A 21,231-nucleotide genomic window follows, 5' to 3' on the forward strand; every position below is an offset into this window, starting at 1 on the left:
AAGCAACAAAGCTCCAAGAAGGCTCATATCTGAAAAAAGAAATAGAGTATAACATGGAGGGACAGAGCATGATGAGAACCTGGCTAACATGTTCACGAAACTATGCCAGGATATAGATACGGTTTACTTTCTCATAAGACACTACTGCTGTTCTTTCTTTAGTCATTTTGCCAACCTTCAAATGACTTTAGAAACAAACCAAGAGTGAAAATGAGACAACTCAGATACTGTCATTAAACATTCAGGAACATGCAGAAATTTTGGCAGTCACAAGTCTGAACAAAAATCTCCAGTTGTAATCTAAAAATTACTTCCTAAGAGTTTCTTTCTGATCATTAGTGAAGATAGGTGTAACTAAAAGCATCTTTAAAAATATTGCTCTAACTAGACATCCTGTTAAACCCAGAGGATGTCACATGTGTTATCCCCACTCTCAAAACCCACTGTTTGGGTTGAAGTATATCCTCCAAAAAAGAAACGCTGAACTCCTAACCTCTGGTAGCTCAGAATGTGACCTTATTTGGAAAGGGGATCTTTACAGAGGTATTCAAGTTAAAACGAGGTCATTAAGGCTGGCCCTAATCCAGTAGGACTGATGTCCTTATAAAAAGAGGAAATCTGGTCCAGGCGCCGTGGCCCACGCCTGTAATCCCAGCACTCTGGGAGGCCAAAGCGGGCGGATCACGAGGTCAGGAGATCGAGACCATTCTGGCTAACATGGTGAAACCCCGTCTCTACTAAAAATACAAAAAAAAAAAAAAATTAGCCGGGCGCGGTTGCAGGCGCCTGTAGTCCCAGCTACTCAGGAGGCTGAGGCAGGAGAATGGCATGGCCCGGGAGGCGGAGCTTGCAGTGAGCCAAGATCACGCCACTGCACTCCAGCCTGGGTGACAGAGAGAAACTCCGTCTCAAAAAGAAAAAAAAAAAAGAGGAAATCTGGACAGAGAGACAGACATGCACACAGAAGAACGCCATGTGAATATAAAGGCAGAGATTGGGGTGATGCATCTGCAAGCCAAGGAACGCCAAAGGCTGCCAGCAACCCACCAGCAGCTAGGAGAGGACGCTAATAAAAATAAACATCCAAGAATGAGAAAGCGCTCTTGGAAATTAACACACAATTGTAAAATTAAGACATTCTATAGAAGGGTTGGAGAATAAATACCAGCCTGGGAAACACAGCAAGACCCTGTCTCTACAAAAATTAAAAAATAGCCAGGCACGGTGGGTCTCACCTGTAATCCCAGCACTTCAGGAGGCTGAGGTGGGAGGATCACTTAAGGCTGGAAGTTCAAGACCAACTTGGGCAACATTAGTGAGACCCTATCTCTGTTTTGTTTTTTTTTTTCTTTTAAAAAGAAGAAGAGGAGGAGGAGGAGGAAGAGGAGAAGGAGGAAGAGGGGAAAGAGGGGAAGGAGGGGAAGAAGGAGGAGGAGGAGGAGGAGGAGAAGGAGAAAATGTAGAAAGCAGATCTCCCAGTAAATCCAACAAGGATAAAGGAATGGGCAAAAGGAGGAAAAAGATGAATATCAGAGCATCAATCCAAAATGGCCCCAATATCTGACTTGTAGACTTTTTAAAGTACAGAAACAGGAGAGGAAAAAAAGGTAGGGAAAGGCAGGAGTTGGATATTATCAAATAAATCATACAAGAAATTTCCTGGCGTCAGAAACATGATTTTCCAAATTGAAAGTTCCCACCAGGTGCCCAGCTCAAAGGATAAAGAAACACCTGCACTGTTGTGGGCTCCACCTATGGCAGTCACGACAGAAACATGCTAATAATAGACAACGTTAAAGGCTACACAAAGGATTCCAAAATCACCATATGGGCACGACTACACAAAGCAGGATACACACCATGCCCTCCATCAGATGTACGGCACGTAGTGCCAGCTACTTCCCCAACATCATGAGTGTACACAGCTACAGATGATTCTACCTGTGGGGAGAGGCCTCACCAGGATTGATAAATACCCACTACAGTCTCTGGGTGTTTTTATGCCCTCTGGCCTGCGGAGACTCTGGTGACATAGGGCCTGCTAGCCAGGTCTAAGTAACGAAACAAGGCCAGGGGTAAGGATTCACTGTGAAGCCAGGTAAGGTGGGTACTTCCCGTGTTCCCTCCTAAGAGACTGTGTCTCGTCCAAAAACTGAGATGGCAAATCCCAAACCAAGGTGCTTCATCAAGAGATGGTAATGAGATACTTTAAAAAGAAACAAAGAAAGGTGCTAAAAAAAATGGGTAGGGGGGAAAGGATAGGAAAATGGGGAAAAAGAGGGGGGAGAGGGAGGGAGAGAGAGAGAAATTAAAAAGACTTGAGACTTCTCAAAAAAAGGTAACTTCTCAAAAGTAACAATTCTAAAGGAAAACTATTTCCATTCTAGCATTCTATAGCTAGCCTATCAGTTGGGTAGGAGGCTCAAATAAAGACATTTTCAGACACGTAAGCTCTCAAAGAATTTCCTCCCTGTAAACCCTTTCTCAAAAAGCTGCTAGAGGATGTGCTCCATCAAAATGAGGAGGCATGCCAAGAGAGAAGACAATGTGTAATCCAGGACTCAGAATCCAACACAGAAAATTACTGGGATTCAGGATGAGTGAGGTGTTGACTGCAGAGTTCTGTAGTCCTATCAGAAACTGGGGGCCTGAATTTGTGACTGGTACTAAGAAATGTAAACCAATAAAATAATTGTTGACTCCAGAGAAAAGAAAAATTTGAACTGGCAAAGAAATAAAAATCACTGCATATGCTCAGCTGTAAGCAATATTTAGCCATGAAAATATAAACAATGAATATTAAGAAAATTAGAAAATGGTATTGAGAGCTTAGTATAAAGAATTGTGCGTGTGAGAGGAGGGTTATATAAGAGATGAACCTTCATCTTGCAGCGTAGGAAATCAATAGAGAAGGTCTAAAATGAAAAAAACAAGCTACAGTAGTGTATGCATACAAGCATGGAATCAAATCCCACAAGCACAGAAAAGAAATGAAAGGGGCTTTTGCTAGGGAGCAGTAATCAGCTGTGAGAAAGAGAACTGGGGTTTTTCATAATAAACCTCACAGTACTATGTACTTAAATGTTTAAATTACATATAAAAATAAATACTTAAGATTTTAAAAGATAAATAGAACTATTATGTGATATAGCCTAATGAATAAGAATCACATTTACAGAAATGAAAACTACTTAAGGGAAGGAAAATAGGAACACCAAGCAAATATAAGCATTGTAAGGCTTTTTTTGTTTTGCTTTTAATTAGGAAAAGTTCCTTTCCAACTCTCAGGATCAGCACCTATGGTCCATCTGACCTGTAGGTATGTCTCATTAGTAAGACAAAACAAACAAACCAGGAAATTTAAATACAACAAAGTTATCTAGTTAATTCACTTGGGACAGGGAGATGTCCTAAAACAAAAGTCCTATTTCTTGACTGTCATGAAGATACCACACTTACAGGGGGAAGGTCCATTTCCATTTGATGACAAGGATAGCACTGAAAGATTCAGCCAGCATTTAAAAGGATGACCTTCAAAAGACCAAAAAAAAAAAAAAAAAAAAAACCCACCATAACAACATAGGTATACCAGTACCTACGTTTTTCAACTGGCAGAGAATAACATTTCATGTAGTTTTATAAGCTAAGAAAATTAGTGTCCATTCTAATGAAAATCAATTATTCAAGCTTATAGAAAAACATTAGAGGCCTTATGAACTAATCAGCAGATTTTTAAATTTTAGTCAAACGCTCACCTGCAATACACTAGGTATAGACAACTGTGCTTTCTAGACGTCCCATTCTAAACACAAAGATAAGGTCCCTCCTACAGGCCCACACATTAACAAAATTCATGCAGCCATAGATGAAATGATGGAAAAATCTTAAGGATTACATTTATAAACACATGTTGTGCATAACATTTGTATACAAGATTTCTAACTTTGGCACTATGAGAATAAAGAAATTTCTTTCTGGGTCAAGAAAGAAATTCTAAGCAAACACATTAAACAATGTTTTTCTTTGAGATAAAAACAAGCTTTTAACTAAACAGTAAATTCTCACATTAAAAATATAAGCCCAGAGCTAACTCCAAGACAGTTCCTCAGACTTTCCCACAATCGCTCAAGCAGTACTCCCTTCTAAGTCCCTCCCTGTCCCTGATTCATAAAACCCTGCTTTACGCAGAAGCAGACCTACTTGATTCCTCTATGACACTATCAGCTACTTCGGGACAAGAGGAATGTTCATTCATTCACCTTTCGCCCTTTGTCCTATGACTCTCTCAACACTGGCTTCTCTGGCCTAGTAAGACCTAGAGGTGGATGCGGGCTCCAGTTTAACATATGACCTCATTTAATCCTCAGAACCAGCCTGTCAAGTAGGTATTGTTATCTCCCTATTACAAAAGAGACAACTGAGTAAATGATACATCAAAAGTATATTCATGAATTTGGGAATTCCCAAAGGTCTATGAGTATATTTCTATTTAATGAAAGGTTCTTCATCAGAGCTGATGTATCATTCATTTATTCAATTACACTAAGTAAAGCACCACTAAAACTCCATTAGCGGGGAGCTCATCTGCAGATGTAGTTACCAAGTGAGTCAAATGATACAGTGAAGAAAGCACTAGTTCAAAAGACAGATCTGCTCAAAAAGAATTCAGATACTCACTTGTATTAGGGGTTTCCACTGGCTACCAACAATGTGATGGGACCTGGATTTCTGAACTGTTGCAGGAAGTCAGGGACCCTAAACAGAGGGACCAGCAGGAGCCGAGGCAGAAGAACATAAATTGTGAAGATTTCATGGACATTTATCAGTTCCCAAAATTAATACCTTTATAACTTCTTAAGCCTGTCTTTACTGCAGTCTCTGAACATAAATTGTGAAGATTTCATGGACTTTTGTCACTTCCCTAATAATCATCTTATAATTTCTTATGTCTGTTTTTACTTTAATCTCTTAATCACGTTATCTTCATAAGCTGAGAATGTACGTCACCTCAGGACCACTACTGTACAAACTGATTGTAAAACGTGTGTTTGAACAATATGAAATCACTGTACCCTGAAAAGAACAGAATAACAGCAATTTTCAGGGAACAATGGAAGATAACCATAAGGTCTGACTGCCTGCGGGGTCGGGCAGAATACAGCCATATTTTTCTTCTTGCAGAGAGCCTATAAATGAACGTGTAAGTAGGAGAGATATCGCTGAATTCTTTTCCCAGCAAGGAATATTAATAATTGATACCGTGTGGAAGGAATGCATTCCTGGGGGGAGGTCTATTAACGGCCGCTCTGGGATTGTCTTATGCAGTTGAGATAAGGACTGAAATACGCCCTGGTCTCCTACAGTACCCTCAGGCTTACTAGGATTGGGAAATTCCAGCCTGGTAAATTCTAGTCAGACTGGTTCTCTGCTCTTGAACCCTGTTTCCTGTTAAGATGTTTATCAAGACAATATGTGCACAGCAGGACATAGACCCTCATCAGTAATTCTAATTTTGCCTTTGCCTTGTGATCTTATTGCCCTTTGAAGCATGGGATCCTTGTGACCTACTCCCTGTTCATACACCCCCTCCCCTTTTAAAATCCCTAATAAAAACTTGCTGGTTTGGGGCTCGGGGTCATCATTACGGTCCTACCAATATGTGATGTCACCCCCAGAGGCCCAGCTGTGAAATTCCTCTCTTTGTACTCTGTCTATTTCTCAGACCGGCCAACACTTAGGGAAAACAGAAAGAACCTATATTAAAATATTGGGGGCTGGTTCCCCCGATACTGAACAGAATAAAAGACTGGAAGCTCTATTCAGCTCTGAAACTGTTTAACTTAAGGATCCTTCTACTCACAGTCCAGTGCCATGTAACCCAGGAGTCACAGTGTACACTTACTCAAATCAGGAACCGTCAAAATTACGAGGGAAAATCCTTGAAGAAGGCACCATGTTGGATACTGACATACCACGTCTCACATAGTCCCACTGAGCCCATTTCCTCCTCCCCAACACCTTTAGTCACCTTCCTATCAGGATGAGCCCGAGAGCAATATTTAGGTTGTTTTAGGGATCATGTTGTATGAGAAATACAGCTTAGACATTCCATCCAGTCTCAGCCCAGCGATATGCTCATGCTGTGAAACACAGGCCAAAGAACATCAGGTTTACCTTGTCCAACTCATTCCAAAGTGCACCAAGTAGGCATGGTAGGGCCACATCACCTCCCCATCTTCCCGGCTGGTATTTCTCTCCTTGACACAATTGCCTTTGAAAACATAAATAACCCAGAGAAACCCACACTCCTATAAAGTAGGTGCTATCTCTCTGTTACCAATTTATAGATGCTGACATCTATAAAGAAAAGCTTCAGCCAGGTGCGGTGGCTCATACTTGTAATCCCAGCACTTTGGGAGGCCAAGGTCGGTGGATCACTTGAGGTCAGGAGTTTGAGACCAGCCTGGCCAACATGGTGAAACCCTGTCTCTACTAAAAATACAAAAATTAGCAGCGTTTGGTGGCAGGTGCCTGTAATCCCAGCTACTAGGGAAGCCAAGGCAGGAGAATCGTTTAAACCCAGGAGGTAGAGGCTGCAGCGAGCCAAGATCGTGCATCACTGCACTCCTGCCTGGGTGACAGAGCAAGACTCCGTCTCAAAAAAAAAAAAGAAAAAGAAAAAGAAAAGAAAAGTGTCTCGGCAGGGCACAGTGGCTCATGCCTGTAACCCCCTCAGCACTTTGGGAGGCTGAGGTGGGAGGATCGCTTGAGCCCAGAAGTTTCAGATCTTCCTCAGCTGATATAGCAAGACCCTTATGTCTATTAAAACCAAAATTAACCGGGGATGGTGGCACATGCCTGTGGTCCCAGCTACTCAGGAGGCACAGGCAAGAGGATTGCTTGATCCCAGCAGGTCCAGGCTGCAGTGAGCTGAAATCGTGCCACTGTACTCCAGCCTGGACAACAGAGCAAGACACTATCTTACACACACACACACACACACACACACACACAGCTTATCCAGTTCTACCTAATAAACGTAACAACAACGGCCAGGTGTGGTGGCCCAACTCAGCAATCCCAGCACTTTGGGAGGTAGAAACGGGAAGACTGCTTGGGCCCAGAAGTTTGAGACCAACCTGGGCAACACAGCAAGACCTCATCGCTATAAATAACAATGAACAACAATAATCATAATGAAGTAAAAACAAAACGCTAAAATTGACTTAGGGATGATAAAGCAATGCACAGGAACTGTCAGAGTCCTTGGGCAGTGGGGCAGCATAGGAACAAGGCAATGTGGGGAGGCAGGTCATCGCTACCACATGGCTGTGGCCTCTGGCAAATCTCTTTCAGCTTCAGGGTTCTCACCTAGAAAACAGCATTATTATCTGTACTTTGTACAGTGGTTGTGACTTAAGAGAGATACTTTACGTAAAAAACTTAGCAAAATGCCTAAAGAAGTTGTTCAATAAGATAACTGTAATAATGATAATCTTTTACAAATATTAAACACCTCCTCGAAATACCTAGTGTTCCTAAGTAGAAGGCATCAGCACCACTTTACAACAGACTAAGAATGTCAGTGGATAGACTAGATATTAAAGACCCCAAAATGCCAAATTTCTATATTTCAAATAATGCTACCTAGGTAAGTTATTTTTAACAGCTAAGCCAGTTAGAAAATCCTGCAACAGAAGATCAGTCCTTTCTTACAAAGCATTTGTTGACCGGGCACAGTGGCTCACACCTGTAATCCCAGGACAGCTGGCAGATCACTTGAGCCCAGGAGTTCGAGACCAGCCTGGGCAACATAGTGAAGCCTGGTCTCTACAAAAAAATACAAAAATTAGCCAAGCATGGGCCGGGCGCAGCGGCTCAAGCCTGTAATCCCAACACTTTGGGAGGCCGAGGCAGGGAGGTCACAAGATCAGGAGATCGAGACCACCCTGGCTAACACGGTGAAACCCCGTCTCTACTAAAAATACAAAAAATTAGCCAGGCGTGGTGGCGGGAGCCTGTAGTCCCAGCTACTCAGGAGGCTGAGGCAGGAGAATGGCATGAACCCGGGAGGCGGAGCTTGCAGTGAGCAGAGATCGCGCCGCTGCACTCCAGCCTGGGCGACAGAACGAGACTCTGTCTCAAAAAAAAAAAAAAGTAGCCAAGCATGGTGGCGCAGGCCTGTAGTCCCAGCTACTGGGGAGGCTGAGGTAGGAGGATTGCTTGGGCTGGGGAGGTCAAGGCTGCAGTGAGCTGAGATAGCCCCACTGCACTCCAGCCTCAGTGACAAAGTGAGACCTTGTCTCTTTAAAAAAAAAAAAACAGCATTTGTTTAACATTTTAAATAACAAAAACAAAGCTTTATCTCTCTCTCAAGTAGTATTTCTCTAAATAACTCTTATTCTCGAATAGTTCATATGTAAATTGACATTACAGCTATGTCAAATAGGTACCTATTATATTTAGTTAGTTATTTATTTTTATTTATCTTTTTTGAGATGGAGTCTTGCTCTGTCGCCCAGGGCTGTAGTGCAGTGGTGCTATCTTGGCTCACTGCAAGCTCCGCCTCCCAGGTTCATGCCATTCCCCTGCCTCAGCCTCCAGAGTAGCTGGGACTACAGGTGCCCCCCACCACGTCTGGCTAATTTTTTGTATTTTTAGTAGAGACGGGGTTTCACTGTGTTAGCCAGGATGGTCTCGATCTCCTGACCTCGTGATCCGCCCGCCTGGGCCTCCCAAAGTGCTGGGATTACAGGCGTAAGCCACCACACCTATCCAGGTACCTATTATTAATTTTAAAAAATACTGTTAAAAGAGTTTAAAGAAATGTAATATGTGGACAGACGTCTCTCAGTGTTTACAAAGAAAAAAATAACACAGCCTCCTAAAACAAACAAAAGATATATTATATCCCCTATAATGCTTCAACTAAGCCCAAACATTCCTTAACTTATGTTGGCTCATAAGAAAAGCACATTGTTTTACAAACACCACAAGTTTATAGACTCAACTGTGAGGAAAAATATCCATAACAATTCAAGCAGCTCCAAATCAGAGCTTCTAATTCATATTAACGATCTGATGGTTTTGCTGGCACATACCGGAGGGCAATTCAAAACATATAATCAAATGATCAGATGACCTTATATTGAATAAATTATTTCCAAATACTTTTTAAGAGCTGTTTGCATTCTGGACACCTCCCTTTCCGAATAAGTTTAAAGCCATGTCTCCAGTGCAGCTGAACATACCTATCTTGCCAGGAACCATAAATGTCATATCATAATGCACTGAATAGATGAGGACGATCTTGGTCAGCATACAATTCTACTGTTTAGTCAGGGGTATATAAAACGTCTTCTAGGCAAACTGCAATCCCATACTAACCAATGAACTTTTTGTTTATAATTATGATTCCTTTTATAAAAAGAGACCATCTTATTTTAAATTTAAAAACGGATGCTTAGGCTGGGCACAGTGGCTCACACCTGTAATCCCAACACTTTCGGAGGCCAAGGTGGGTGGATCACTTGAGTCCAGGAGTTCGAGACCAGCCTGGGCAACATGATGATACCTTGTCCTACAGAAAAGTACAAAAATTAGCTGGGCACGGTGGCACCTCCCTGTGGTCCCAGCTACTCGGGAGTCCGAGGTGGGAGGATCGCTTGAGCCCTAGAAGCGGAGGCTGCAGTGAGCCGAGATTGCACCACTGCACTCCAGCCTGGGTGACCAAGTGAGACCTTGTCTCAAATAAAATAGAAGTTTAAATCAATATTCTAAGGTCATTTATCCCTTTCATTTTATTTCAGAAATAGGTAAATGCAGAAATTCAATCTGTCACTAACAAAGTTACTTTGTACCATATATTTTTTGCGGAGTAAAATTACCAGTTCCAACTTTAAAGTTTCCGAAGGATGCTTTCCCCATCTTTAGCTCCTCCCTTCATCTAATACAGCTTAGTCATAACCACCAAAGCCAAATAATTTTTAAACCTAGATCCTTCCTTCCTTCCCTCCTTCCCACTTACTCATGTATTTATTTATTCAGACTCAGGGTTCTACTGTGTCATCCAGCAGTGGCGTGAACATGGCTCACTGCAGCCTCAACTCCTTGGCTGAAGCCATCCTCTGACCTTAGCCTCCTGAGCAGCTGGGATCACACAGGTGCCCGCACTACCACAGCTGTGTTTTTTTTTTTTTTTTTTTGGAGAGACAGGGTCTTGCCATGTTGTCCAGGCTGGTCTCAAACTCCAGGGCTCAGGCCTCATACCCACTTTAAAATCAACACATCTGTCCGGGTGCGGTGGCTCACGCCTGTAATCCCAGCACTTTAGGAGGCGAAAGCAGGAGGCTCACTTGACCCCAGGAGTCTGAGACCAGCCTGCGCAACACAGGGAGACTTCTCTCTTTCAAAAGAATTGTTTCGGCCAGGCGCGGTGGCTCACGTCTGTAATCCCAGCACTTTGGGAGGCCAAGGCAGGAGGATCACGAGGTCAGGAGATCAACACTATTCTGGCTAACACAGTGAAACCCTGTCTCTCCTAAAAATACAAAAAATTAGCCAGGTGTGGTGGCACGTGCCTGTAGTCCCAGCTACTCAGGAGGCTGAGGCAGGAGAATTGCTTGAACCTGGGAGGCGGAGGTTGCAGTCAGCCGAGATCATGACACTGCACTCCAGCCTGGGTTACAAACAAAAAAACACTAGTAAAATTCTAAATTCAAAGATTATAAAAATAAGTACCATTTTTTGTTTGTTTGTTTTTTGAGACAGAGTCTCGCTCTGTCACCCAGGCTGGAGTGCAGTGACACAATCTCGGCTCACTGCAACTTCTGCCTCCCAGGTTCAAATGATTCTCCTGCCTCAGCCTCCAGAGTAGCTGGGTCTACAGGCATGCATAACCACACCTGGCTAATTCTTTTGTATTTTTAGTAGAGACAGGGTTTCACCACGTTGGCCAGGCTGGTCTCGAATTCCTGACCTCAGGTGATCCGCCCGCCTCGGCCTCCCAAAGTGCTGGGATTACAGGCGTGAACCACCGCACCCAGCCTTCTTCCTCATTTCTTGTTAACAATTTTAACATAAACTGACAAACCTGATCACCGAAATACAACATTCAAAGGCTTTAGCAGAAAAAGACTGAATTGCAGTCAGTGAATCAAATTAGTAAAAATGTTTACTTTATCATCATTTTAATCCTGAAAGTGACATTAAGAGTTTTATCTTGTATTAAAACACAGTTTACCTCCCAACAGATTTTTTTTTCTTCTCCTTCCTTTCTGACTGAGAAGTTGAGCAGAGACAGATGCCCAACCCCAGCTTCCACCAGCTTCCTGCTGAAAATCAAGAGCAAGGCAGCCCACCAAGTGGCCCCGGCAGGATTCTGGCCATTCCCCACTACACATGGGTTGCCACTGACTGCTTCATTTGGACCCCAGGGTGAGCAACTCCCTCACGCTTGTCTTGAAACACACATGTAATAAGCGTTTAGTGTTAGTAATAGTGTGTTACTAAAATGAAGATTCAAGCTGACAGCAGGGGAGGTGGATTCCAAAAATCACAGTTAATTACCAAAGCCGCTAAGCCAAGTTATTCAAATGTCTTATTACCAAGGTATAGCCATAAAACTTACTGCTCCAGGCTATAATACCTTCAAACTCTTCAAGTTTTAAAGACACATTATACATAGGATTCTGCCAACTGGAGGCTATCTACCAACTTGTGAGTTGTTTCATCATGAAGGAGGCAAATGGTAGGTCACGAGACTCTGGGTCTCATTGAGAAGTATAAAAACTTACCAAGCAGTGAAGGGTATTGGAGAGAGAAAAACAGGATTTTAAAATGAAGATTCCAAACCACTGCCTACCAATCTGGCACGGCAAGTCGGGCAAATACACACTCAACGACAGTCACTGGGGTCGGAGTAAAAAGAAATGGATTTAAATTAAAGATGGAAAGACTTAAATCAGACTTAAAGAAAAGCCTCTTGATGTAAATTGCTAAGCACCTACGGGAGATAACCAAATCTACCTGTTACCACTAATCTATCAACTAACAAGACAAAGCCTCCAGCTAGGCGTTACTGTGCTGATATATATTAGGAAATAAGTACCCAAGGCATAGAAAAATCGCTGACACAGAGAACCAAGCCATAATGTAATATTAATAAAAGTAAACATTTGACCCTTTACCACCTCTAACACGTGGCACCACCAGGAATATTCATCCATGCCTCACCATTCAGGGAAGGTAAGTGAGCTCACTCAGGAAGTGCCACCGTCTTCCAGGTCACTGGTAAGGACAAACTGCCTGCTGCGTCTACCTTCATTCAACAGACCTCGACCGAATCGCATCCCAAAGCCGGCTATGTGCTTGGAACTTACTGAGCAGCTATGGAGTTTGGCTTTCAGGAACTCTGGGTCCAGTCCTTAAAACCAAAAGTGCAATACAGGGCGATGAGAACTTCTATTGCTACATTCTCCTAGCAATAAAGAAGACAAAGCCCCAGCTGACTCTATTATTTGCTTCTTAACAGTGCTTTACTATAGTATTAAAGGGTTTTCAAACACTTCATTTCCAGCTTCTCTTAAGCATAATGCGTGCCTATTGACTCTCGACTGTGCCATCAAACGTTAAAACAGAACCTGTCGTTTCATTTCTAGCTTTCTATGGCTACCTCTATCAAAAGTTGGGCATGGAGATACCTTAAGTCTGGCTGGGGCGGTTGCTCACGCCTGTAATCCCAGCTCTTTGGGAGGCCGAGGGGGGCGGATCACCTGAGGTCGGCAGTTCGAGACCAGCCTGGCCAACATGGTGAAACCCCCGGTCTCTAATAAAAATACAAAAATTAGCTGAGTGTGGTGGCTCATGCCTGTAATCCCAGCTACTCGGGAGGCTGGGGCACAAGAATCGCTTTAACAGAGGAGGCAGAGATTGCAGTGATCGGAGATCGCGCAACTACACTCCAGCCTGGGCGACAGAGTGAGACTCTGTCTCGAAATAAAAGAGATACTTCAGTCTGACATACCACAATCAACTACAATGTAATTGGAGGGAAGAGCCGATGTTGGACGGCTATCACACGTGGCTTCACACTGTTCTTTTTCTTCTCTGGCTGGGTACGGCCTGAGGATGACTGCCCTCCAACAACTGAGGATGCTGCAGGAGGACCAGCCCAGCACCTGTCTCCATCCCCTGCACTGTGTGGCCGGCTCTGCCGCTTCTCCCCCGCTTCAGCATCACCTGCCACTTCTTCTCAATCTGAAGCCACTAAGAACGATCAACACCAGACCGTTAAAACATAAACCAGTATGGGCCACTAAATAATTCGTAAATATTTCAAAATGTATTTCAAAACCGACTTTGTATTGTCAAAACATTATAATCTAGCCAGGCCAAGTTTTAATAAACAGTAACACCCATCATCACTACTGGGTAAAGAACTTCATTCAACAGGACCTACCTTGACACCAAGTCTAGAGCCTCGTTTTCAATTAAAAAAAAAATGGGTAAGCCCCAAATGTGCATTAAAAATTAGTTTGGCCATTTACTAAGTAGTCCTTCAAAGCATTTCCAAGTATTCAGAGTTCCAGTACTTTTCGGAAAGGAAGGGTGATCTTTCTGGTACTGGTTTGCATAATTATGCCTAAAAAATGTCATCTTGAATTTTCAATGAAAAGAGTCTTAAAATGTTCAGGCGAGTGGAGAAAATGGTGATCCGCTGGCGTTAGAAGTGGACAGAGAGGCTCTCAGTACAAACTGTATCTGAACGTGTTCCTCACAAATTAAGATCTGCACCGGGGGCTGGGGGGCTTTGAGAAAACTAACCACATTTGAATCCGGTCCACACAGCTTGAAGGCGGAGGTACGGGGCAAAGCGCGGCGGGGAAGAAACACCAGCAACTCGGCGGCCCCCGCCTCGCCGCAGATCACGTGCCCGGCGCCCCCTCCCGCAGGGCCGGGGGCGGGATGGAGACGCGGCCTCCCGCGCGCCTTCCGCACTCCCCTCCGCGCCCCAAACCCAGGGGTAGGGGTGGTCTCGGGTAACCATCCCCAGGGCGGCGGCGAGGGAACTGCGCGGGTTCAGAGTCCTCAGCAGCCACCACTGACGCCCCGACGCCCCCGGCTCCCCGCGCACCCCGCCGGTCCGTCCTGCGGCGGCGGCGGTAGGGGCCGCGTCTACGTGGCGCGGTCGCGGCGAGGCGGGGACTGGGACGCGAGGACCGGGAAGCGGGGACCGCGGCGCGAGGAGGGGCGGCTCAACCCGCGCCGCCCCGGAGGGTCCCGGCCTCCGGCAGGACAGCCCCGGGCCCGCGCCAAGGGAAGCCCCCAGGCGCAGACACTCACCGCCAGCCCCGGAGGGACGCCTGCGAGGAGCCCGGCCCGCGCCCACTTACCCACAGGGGCTCCGCTCCCGGCCAGCGGGCGGCTGAGGGCAGGCGGCGGCTGGACTGCGACGGCTAGGACCCGCCGGGGAGGGAAGCCGAGGGGGCGGGGCCGGTCGGGGGCGCGCGCGGGGTCGGAGCGCCCGCAGCCGCCGCTGCCTTGGAAGCCGCCTGGGCCGCAGCTGAGTCGGGCGGCCCTCATGAATGGGACGCCGCGGCTGCGGCGGCCGAGCCGGCAGCTGGCGGGCGGGCAGCGCGCAGGCCCCGCCCCAGCCACGTGACGCGCGCTCCCGGCCGCGCGCCGCGCCCCCGCCGCCGAGCGCCAGGCGTGCGGCTTCTCACCGCTCCCAGTCCCTGGGCTGCGCGCCCGGGCCCCTGGCCAAGTGAGGGCGGGGCCTCGATTTTCTAGTGCCTCGGGCGACAGGAGCCTTACTTTGTTTTAAAAAAAAAAAGTTTCTTCCGGTCCCCATGGCAACCCTGCGGCAGGTCACGTGGGACTGAGAGCCCAATTGCCAAAAAGGAATGTTAAAGTGCAAAAAAAGTCTAGGGAATGAATGTTTTATAATCCCCTTTTGATCACTAGTAGCACATCTCCTTTGCTTACTTACATCTCCACCGAAAAAAAAAAAATCCTATTACACAACTCATTTTTAAAAATATGCCGGGGTTCTGTTGTTTTTTGTTTATTCTTTTTATCGCTCTGTTACCCCGGCTGGTCTCCAACTCCTGGGCTCAAGCATCCCCGCACCTCGGCCTCCCAAAGTACTGGAATTACAGGCATGAGCCACCGTCCCCAGCATTAAAATATACTTTTTAAGAAATGGGTGGCTCACGCCTGTAATCCTAGCACTTTGGAAGGCCGAGGCAGGCGGATCACTTGAGGTCAGGAGTTCAAGACCAGCCTGGCCAACATGGTGAAACCCCCGTCTCTACTAAAAATACAAAAAACCAGCCGGGCGTGGTGGCGCGTGCCTGTAATCCCAGCTTCTCAGGAGGCTGAGGCAGGAGAATCAGTTGAACCCGGGAGGCGGAGATTGCAGTGAGCCGAGATGGCGCTATTGCACTCCAGCCTGGCGACAGAGAGACTCCGTCTCAGAAAGAAAAGAAATGGGGCCCGGCGCGGTGGCTCACGCCGGTAATCCCAGCACTTTGGGAGGCCAAGGCGGGTCGATCGCCTGAGGTCAGGAGTTGGAGACTAGCCTGGCCAACGTGGCAAAACCCCGCCTCTACTAAAAATACAAAAATTAGCCGGGCATGTTGGCTGCAATCCCAGCTACTTAGGAGGCAGAGGCGGTAGAATCACTTGAACCCGGGGGGCGGAGGTTGCAGTGAGCAGAGATTGCGCCACTTCACTCCAGCCTGGGAGCGAAACTCTGTCTCAAAAAAAAAAAAAACAAAAAAAACTGGATTGCTGGTGCTATATACTATTGGTGCACACTGGTTTTTAATTTGCAGCCTATTCTATTACTATTCTATGATTGAAAGTAATGAACAGAAGCCTATGTTACTTCTATATAAATGGCAGTTAATTTATGAGGTGCATCTTGTGTGTGATCATTTATACAGTTCTAAGGGTACTGAAATAGGCATTTGCATACACAAAGCTGCTCCTTGAAGGATCCAGCTGCAGCCCAGTTTCTTCCCACCAGTGCCTGGTGTAGCTGGGCAGTGCTTGGATTCAGGGAGCAGGCGACCACTTCTTCACTGAAGTTCCTTCTGCTTTTCTGTGAAACTCGATCAAGTTTTGCCCCATCTGTAATCAAGGCCCTACAGAAACATAGGTAGTTTCACTGGCACAAGACCACTAGGAATTTTCCTCATTTCACTGCTTCTCACTTGGCTTCACAAGTAAAATAAAAATTGAAGAGGACTAAAATATCCCCCTCCGTATTCAATGGATTTTATAAATATGGAGAAGAAAAATTAAAGCTAGAGAAAGAATTTAATCCTCAGTTTCTACGTCAGTAAAATAAAGATAGTAGTGTCTTTCTTACAGAATTGTTTTGTGGATTCCCCGTGATAACCTATAAAGTGCCTACGTTAGTGTCTGCAACCTGGAACAGGCTGTTAGCGTTTATTTTCTTTCCTTTCTTCCATTTCTCCCACTTAGACTTTTCCTGTTTCTCTCAGGCTATTTTCTCTATCTCTGCCTTGGGAGGGAAATATTCTGCCAAGCTCCCTTCCTTCCTTTCATCATTCAGGAAGCCCTAGAGCTCCCCTCCCTTCCTCCAAACAACCTTGCGTTTGAGACCTCACTCAGAACGATTGGTTCATATTGCTAATATTTTCCTCATTTTCCCGTGTCCACCAGCTTACACTACCACTTAAGTGGTGACTCATTAAATGTTTGTTGCATGATAAATCCCTTCACCTCCTGCCCTAGGAAGTGTGGAGGGGCCACCCCAGGTCCACCTACTCCACTGGAGTGTCAGAGGAAGAAAGCGCTTCCTTCAACTGGCCTCTGACCCACCACCTTCCAGCTCCAAGGTGAGGAACCTCACTCCACTAATTGTCCCCTCTTCCTCAATTCTGGCTTCATTCCTGCACTTGAAAAAGAAGCTTTTGTGGCCCCTCCGTTCCCCCTCAGGCTGTCGACTTATCACACAGCTTCTCTTCCCACCCAAGCTACCTGAAAGAGTTTCAGGTTTTCTCCCATCTTCACAGGGTTGCTCCTCCTCTAACCCTGAAACTGCTCAGGCTAAAGTCACTATGACCTTCTGGTTGCCGAAGAAAACAGACCCCTTTCCTGTCCCATGCCTCATGATCTCTGCAGGGCAAGATGCTGTTGATCATTATTTCCTTCTTGAAACTCTCTCCTCCCCTCATTAGTGGGAACTCCTCTGAATTCTACATGCCTGTGCTCAGTGGCTTTCAACGTCTCAACCAGCAAGGTCCACAGTGATGTCAGATTCAAACCCATTATTTGTGCTTCTTCAAACCTGCTCCACCTGAATCTCCTATCCTGGCTGATGGCGCTGTCATCTGTTTAGACATACTTGCCAGAAACCTAGGAGGGAGTCTCATTTCCCTCTACTCCCATGCTGTTTCCATCACTCCTCCTCATTATTCCTCCTCATGATTCCTACTCTTGGTCCTCTGTCGCACCACTCACCCCTGCTTGTGATTAGGCCCTCGCCATTTCTCTTGTGGTCCATTGTAGGAATATGCCAGCTGGTCTCCCTACCCTCTAGTCCTGCCCAATTCTAAGCATCCTCTACTCTGAATTGCAGACCTGGCCATGGCACAGGTGGTTGGCAACCCATTGTCTTGACGAAGCAAGCCAAGTTCCCTAGCGTGGCATCCAGTGTGCTCCTTTTCTCTCTAATTTTCTCTCCTGCTCCTTCTAGTCTGTATGCTTCAGCCATTCCATCATCCCTTTTGCAACAGGATTTTTTTTTTTTTTTTGGAGACAGGGTCTCACTCTGTTGTTCAGGCCAAAGTGAAGTGGTGTGATCACGGTTCACTGCAACCTCAAACTCCTGGGCTCAATCGAGCCTCCCACCTTAGCCACCCAAAGTACTGGAATTACAGGCTTGAGCCACAGTAGCTGGTAAGAATAATTTTTCATATATTAACTTCTGTGTTTTTCCTTAGAGTTCTCTCTTTCTTCTTCTCCTTATAAGAATGCACCCAGGCATTCTGCTTGTCTCAGGAGGTTGTTGGCAGAGTGGAAAGCAGAAGTTGTCTGCAAGACATTTCCTTCCTGTCTTTTATTTCCAAAACACTATGCTCAGTGAGGAACCTGTCTCAGTCAAGGGGGAGAGGGCCAGGGAGAAGGCATATCTTTGAGGGAATCTGGAAAGCAGAGAAGGATTTTCTCTAGAATAAGAATCAAGTATCCCCGACCTGGAGTTGGAAGGAGGTGGTCCTATGCCCTCCTGTCTGGCAGCTCCCAGGGGAGGTGATTCAACCTTAGAAAAATAGCTTTGTTATTCCCAGCTTCTGCATCTCTTTCTCTGTGAGGACAGAGAATAGCTAGCATTTTCTGTACCATCACTGTGTGCCCAGCTCTTCTAGTAATTCAACTTCTATCATTAACACCAGTTTACAGAGGAAGGAACTACGGCACAGAGATGTTGGGTAACTTGCCTCAGATCTCACAACTCGTCAGCAGTGTTGATAGAATTTGCCTCCAGCCCTCCTTGACTCCTAAACCCATATTTTTTTCTTCTCTTTCTAAAAAAGTTATTATTTAGCCATCAAATGAATGAACCAAAACTATTTTTTTTAATTTATTTTTAGTAGAGATGGGGTTTTGCCATGTTGCCCAGGCTGGTCTCGAAATACTGGCCTCAAATGATCCGCCCACCTCAGCCTCCCAAAGTGCTGGGATTACAGGCATGAGCCACCAGGCCCAGCATAAACCTGTATTTTTAACTACCTCCCACCACCTTCCCTCAATTGCCCTACTGCCCTACCCCAGTCGATGTATTTTTTCTTATGCCTCTAGTCCACCTTGCACAGATCACAATTATAGTACTTATTATACACATAGTAGGTGCTGAGTAAATACGTGATGAAAAATAAGTGAAGATTTCTATTTCATCTGATAGGCTCAGCTGGGTGTCTAGACCAACTTTCCCTCACTGAAAACAAAAACAAAAATACTGGGCAAAATAATAAAAATATATTCTGGAAGGCATCTATAAACTGGCAAGAAATTAAGAAATTGCCCCAGGACAGGGTGAAGGTCAGAACCCAGAGAGGTAAGCCGAGCCCAAAGTCAGCATATGCCTGGAGGATTTTTGCTGAATCTAGTGAGTTTGAACGTTGATTTTTGAAGCCTTGGGAGTTTTGTGCAGCAGAAGTAAAGGTTAGCATGTACTTTAAGTAGGGAGATTAATAGAAGACCCAATAAATACAGAATTGCAAAAGCAAAATAGTAGAATAAGAAAAAAAATTACTTCTCAAGCCGACCCAGAAACCTCACTAAAGCTGGTAACATATGAACATATAAAACACATATAGGCCGGGTGCAGTGGCTCACACCTGTAATCCCAGCACTTTGGGAGGCCGAGACAGGCCGATCACTTGAGGTCAGGAGTTCGAGGCTAGCCTGGCCAACATGGTGAAACCCGTCTCTACTAAAAACACAAAAATTAGCCAGGTGTGGTGGCGCACAACTGTAGTCCCAGCTACTCAGGAGGCTGAGGTAGGAGAATCACTTGAACCCAAGACACAGAGGCAGTGAGCCAAGATGGGGCCACTGCACTCCAGCCTGAGCAACAGAGCTAGACTTCATCTCAAAAACTAAATAAATAAATAAATAAAATAAATAAAGCAAGTCTTAACAAATCTGAAAATTTTGAATGCATTGGCCAGACGCAGTGGCTCACAACTGTAATCCCAGCACTTCAGGAAACCAAATCAGGAAGATAGCTTGAGCTTGGGAGGATTGCTTGAGCTCAGGAGTTTGAGACCAGCCTGAGCAACATAGAGAGACCTCATCTCTACTAAAAATGTAATAAATTAGCTGGCTGTGGTAGCGTGTGCCTGTAGTCCCAGCTACTCGGGAAGATGAGGTGGGAGGATTGATTGAGCCTAAGAGGTCAAGGTCGCAGTGAGCCCAGATTGTACCACTGCACTCCAGCCTGGGCAATAGAGCACGACCCTGTCTCAAGAAGAATGAAAGAGAGAGAGAAAAGAAAGAAAGGAAAATGTTTATCATACAGACTATATCCTCTGAACACAATGCAATTAAGACAAGAATCGGCCGGGCCCAGTGGCTCACGCCTGTAATCCCAGCACTTTGGGAGGCCGAGGCGGGCAGATCACGAGGTCAGGAGATCGAGACTATCCTGGCTAACACGGTGAAATCTCGTCTCTACTAAAAATACCAAAAAAAAAAAAAATTAGCCGGGCATGGTGGCAGGCGCCTGTAGTCCCGCTACTTGGGAGGCTGAGGCAGAAGAATGGTGTGAACCCAGGAGGCAGAGCTTGCAGTGAGCCGAGATTGCGCCACTGCACTTCAGCCTGGGCAACAGAGCGAGACTCCGTCTTAAAAAAAAAAAAAAAAAAAAGACAAGAATCAATTTTTTTAAGAAGTAACTAGAAAAACCTATTTGTTTGGAAATTCATGAGCCAATGAACAGCACTATGGGAATGTGACAACATTTAAATGCTATATATCAAATATTTGATACTATGTATGAAAATATGAGGGATAAAACTGAGCAAGTTGTTAAGGGGAAACTTATAGACTAAAAGCTTATATTACAAGAGAAAATTGTTTGAAATGTAAAGAGCTAAAAAGTTAAAAAAGAACAGGAAATTAAAGTCATATAGAAGAAAGGAAATAATAAAGATAAAATTTTAAAAATAATAAAATTGAAAGCAAACATGCAATAGAAAGAACCAACTAAGCCAAACACTGCATTCAAACTTCTGGTGAAAAATGATCAGGGAAAAAGGAGAAGGCACAACACACAATGTGAAGCATAAAGGGAAAGCTATAATCACACATGATGTGGAACTTAACAAAGGTAAAAGAACTTTGTGAAATTCCAAGAAGCGTAAATTAATAAAACTGAAACTCGTAACTGTCCAAGAACTTGAATCTGTTGTTAAATATTTTCTGCAAAGAAAAATCTAGCTAAAACAGTTTGCCAGTGATTTCTACCGAACATTCCAGTAATAAGTAATTCCAATCTCACACTCTAAAGTATGGAAAAGGAGAGATTATCCCTCAACTCGCTTTATGAAGCTGGCATTGCCTTATACCAAAATCTGATCAGGAGAGTGTCAGAAACAAAAATCCCAGGCCAAAACACTCTTACATATATAGACATGAAAAGTCCTGAGCTGAATTTCAACAATGTGAATCCAGCAAGGTAATACATTATAACCAAAC

The 21,231-nt window shown here is 44.9% G+C and overlaps 1 protein-coding gene across 5 annotated transcripts in view, besides 4 other annotated features; it reads right to left on the bottom strand.

The window, feature by feature from the left end:
* The window catches only part of LPIN2 (lipin 2), a 96,151-nt gene extending 81,700 nt beyond the window's left edge, over window positions 1-14,451 (bottom strand). For 2 of the 5 annotated variants that reach the window (XR_935074.3, NM_001375809.1), the window contains exon 1: window positions 14,344-14,451. Coding sequence is in view for 1 of the 5 variants with exons in the window: in XM_047437958.1 (XP_047293914.1) it covers window positions 12,235-12,237 (3 nt within the window). In the remaining 4 variants the exon portion in view is untranslated. Of the gene's footprint in view, window positions 1-12,234; window positions 12,425-13,024; window positions 13,267-14,343 lie in introns of those variants that run through there. The other 3 variants (XM_047437958.1, NM_014646.2, NM_001375808.2) reach the window with 3 other exon arrangements.
* Window positions 39-138: an enhancer, noted in NCBI's record as "active region_13035". NCBI's record gives its function as "activates an Ori minimal core promoter by ATAC-STARR-seq in GM12878 lymphoblastoid cells {active_cell/tissue: GM12878}" and the evidence as "EXISTENCE:reporter gene assay evidence [ECO:0000049][PMID:35858748]".
* Window positions 253-1,175: an enhancer, noted in NCBI's record as "H3K27ac-H3K4me1 hESC enhancer chr18:2998944-2999866 (GRCh37/hg19 assembly coordinates)". NCBI's record gives its function as "activates a minimal SCP1, AML or CMV promoter by ChIP-STARR-seq in naive H9 embryonic stem cells {active_cell/tissue: H9 hESC(naive)}" and the evidence as "EXISTENCE:reporter gene assay evidence [ECO:0000049][PMID:30033119]".
* Window positions 5,187-5,704: an enhancer, noted in NCBI's record as "OCT4-NANOG hESC enhancer chr18:3003878-3004395 (GRCh37/hg19 assembly coordinates)". NCBI's record gives its function as "activates a minimal SCP1, AML or CMV promoter by ChIP-STARR-seq in naive and primed H9 embryonic stem cells {active_cell/tissue: H9 hESC(naive and primed)}" and the evidence as "EXISTENCE:reporter gene assay evidence [ECO:0000049][PMID:30033119]".
* Window positions 13,892-14,841: a silencer, noted in NCBI's record as "silent region_9251". NCBI's record gives its function as "represses an Ori minimal core promoter by ATAC-STARR-seq in GM12878 lymphoblastoid cells {active_cell/tissue: GM12878}" and the evidence as "EXISTENCE:reporter gene assay evidence [ECO:0000049][PMID:35858748]".

Source organism: Homo sapiens, chromosome 18 (genome assembly GCF_000001405.40).
Source record: "Homo sapiens chromosome 18, GRCh38.p14 Primary Assembly".
Classification (NCBI taxonomy): Eukaryota; Metazoa; Chordata; class Mammalia; order Primates; family Hominidae; genus Homo; species Homo sapiens.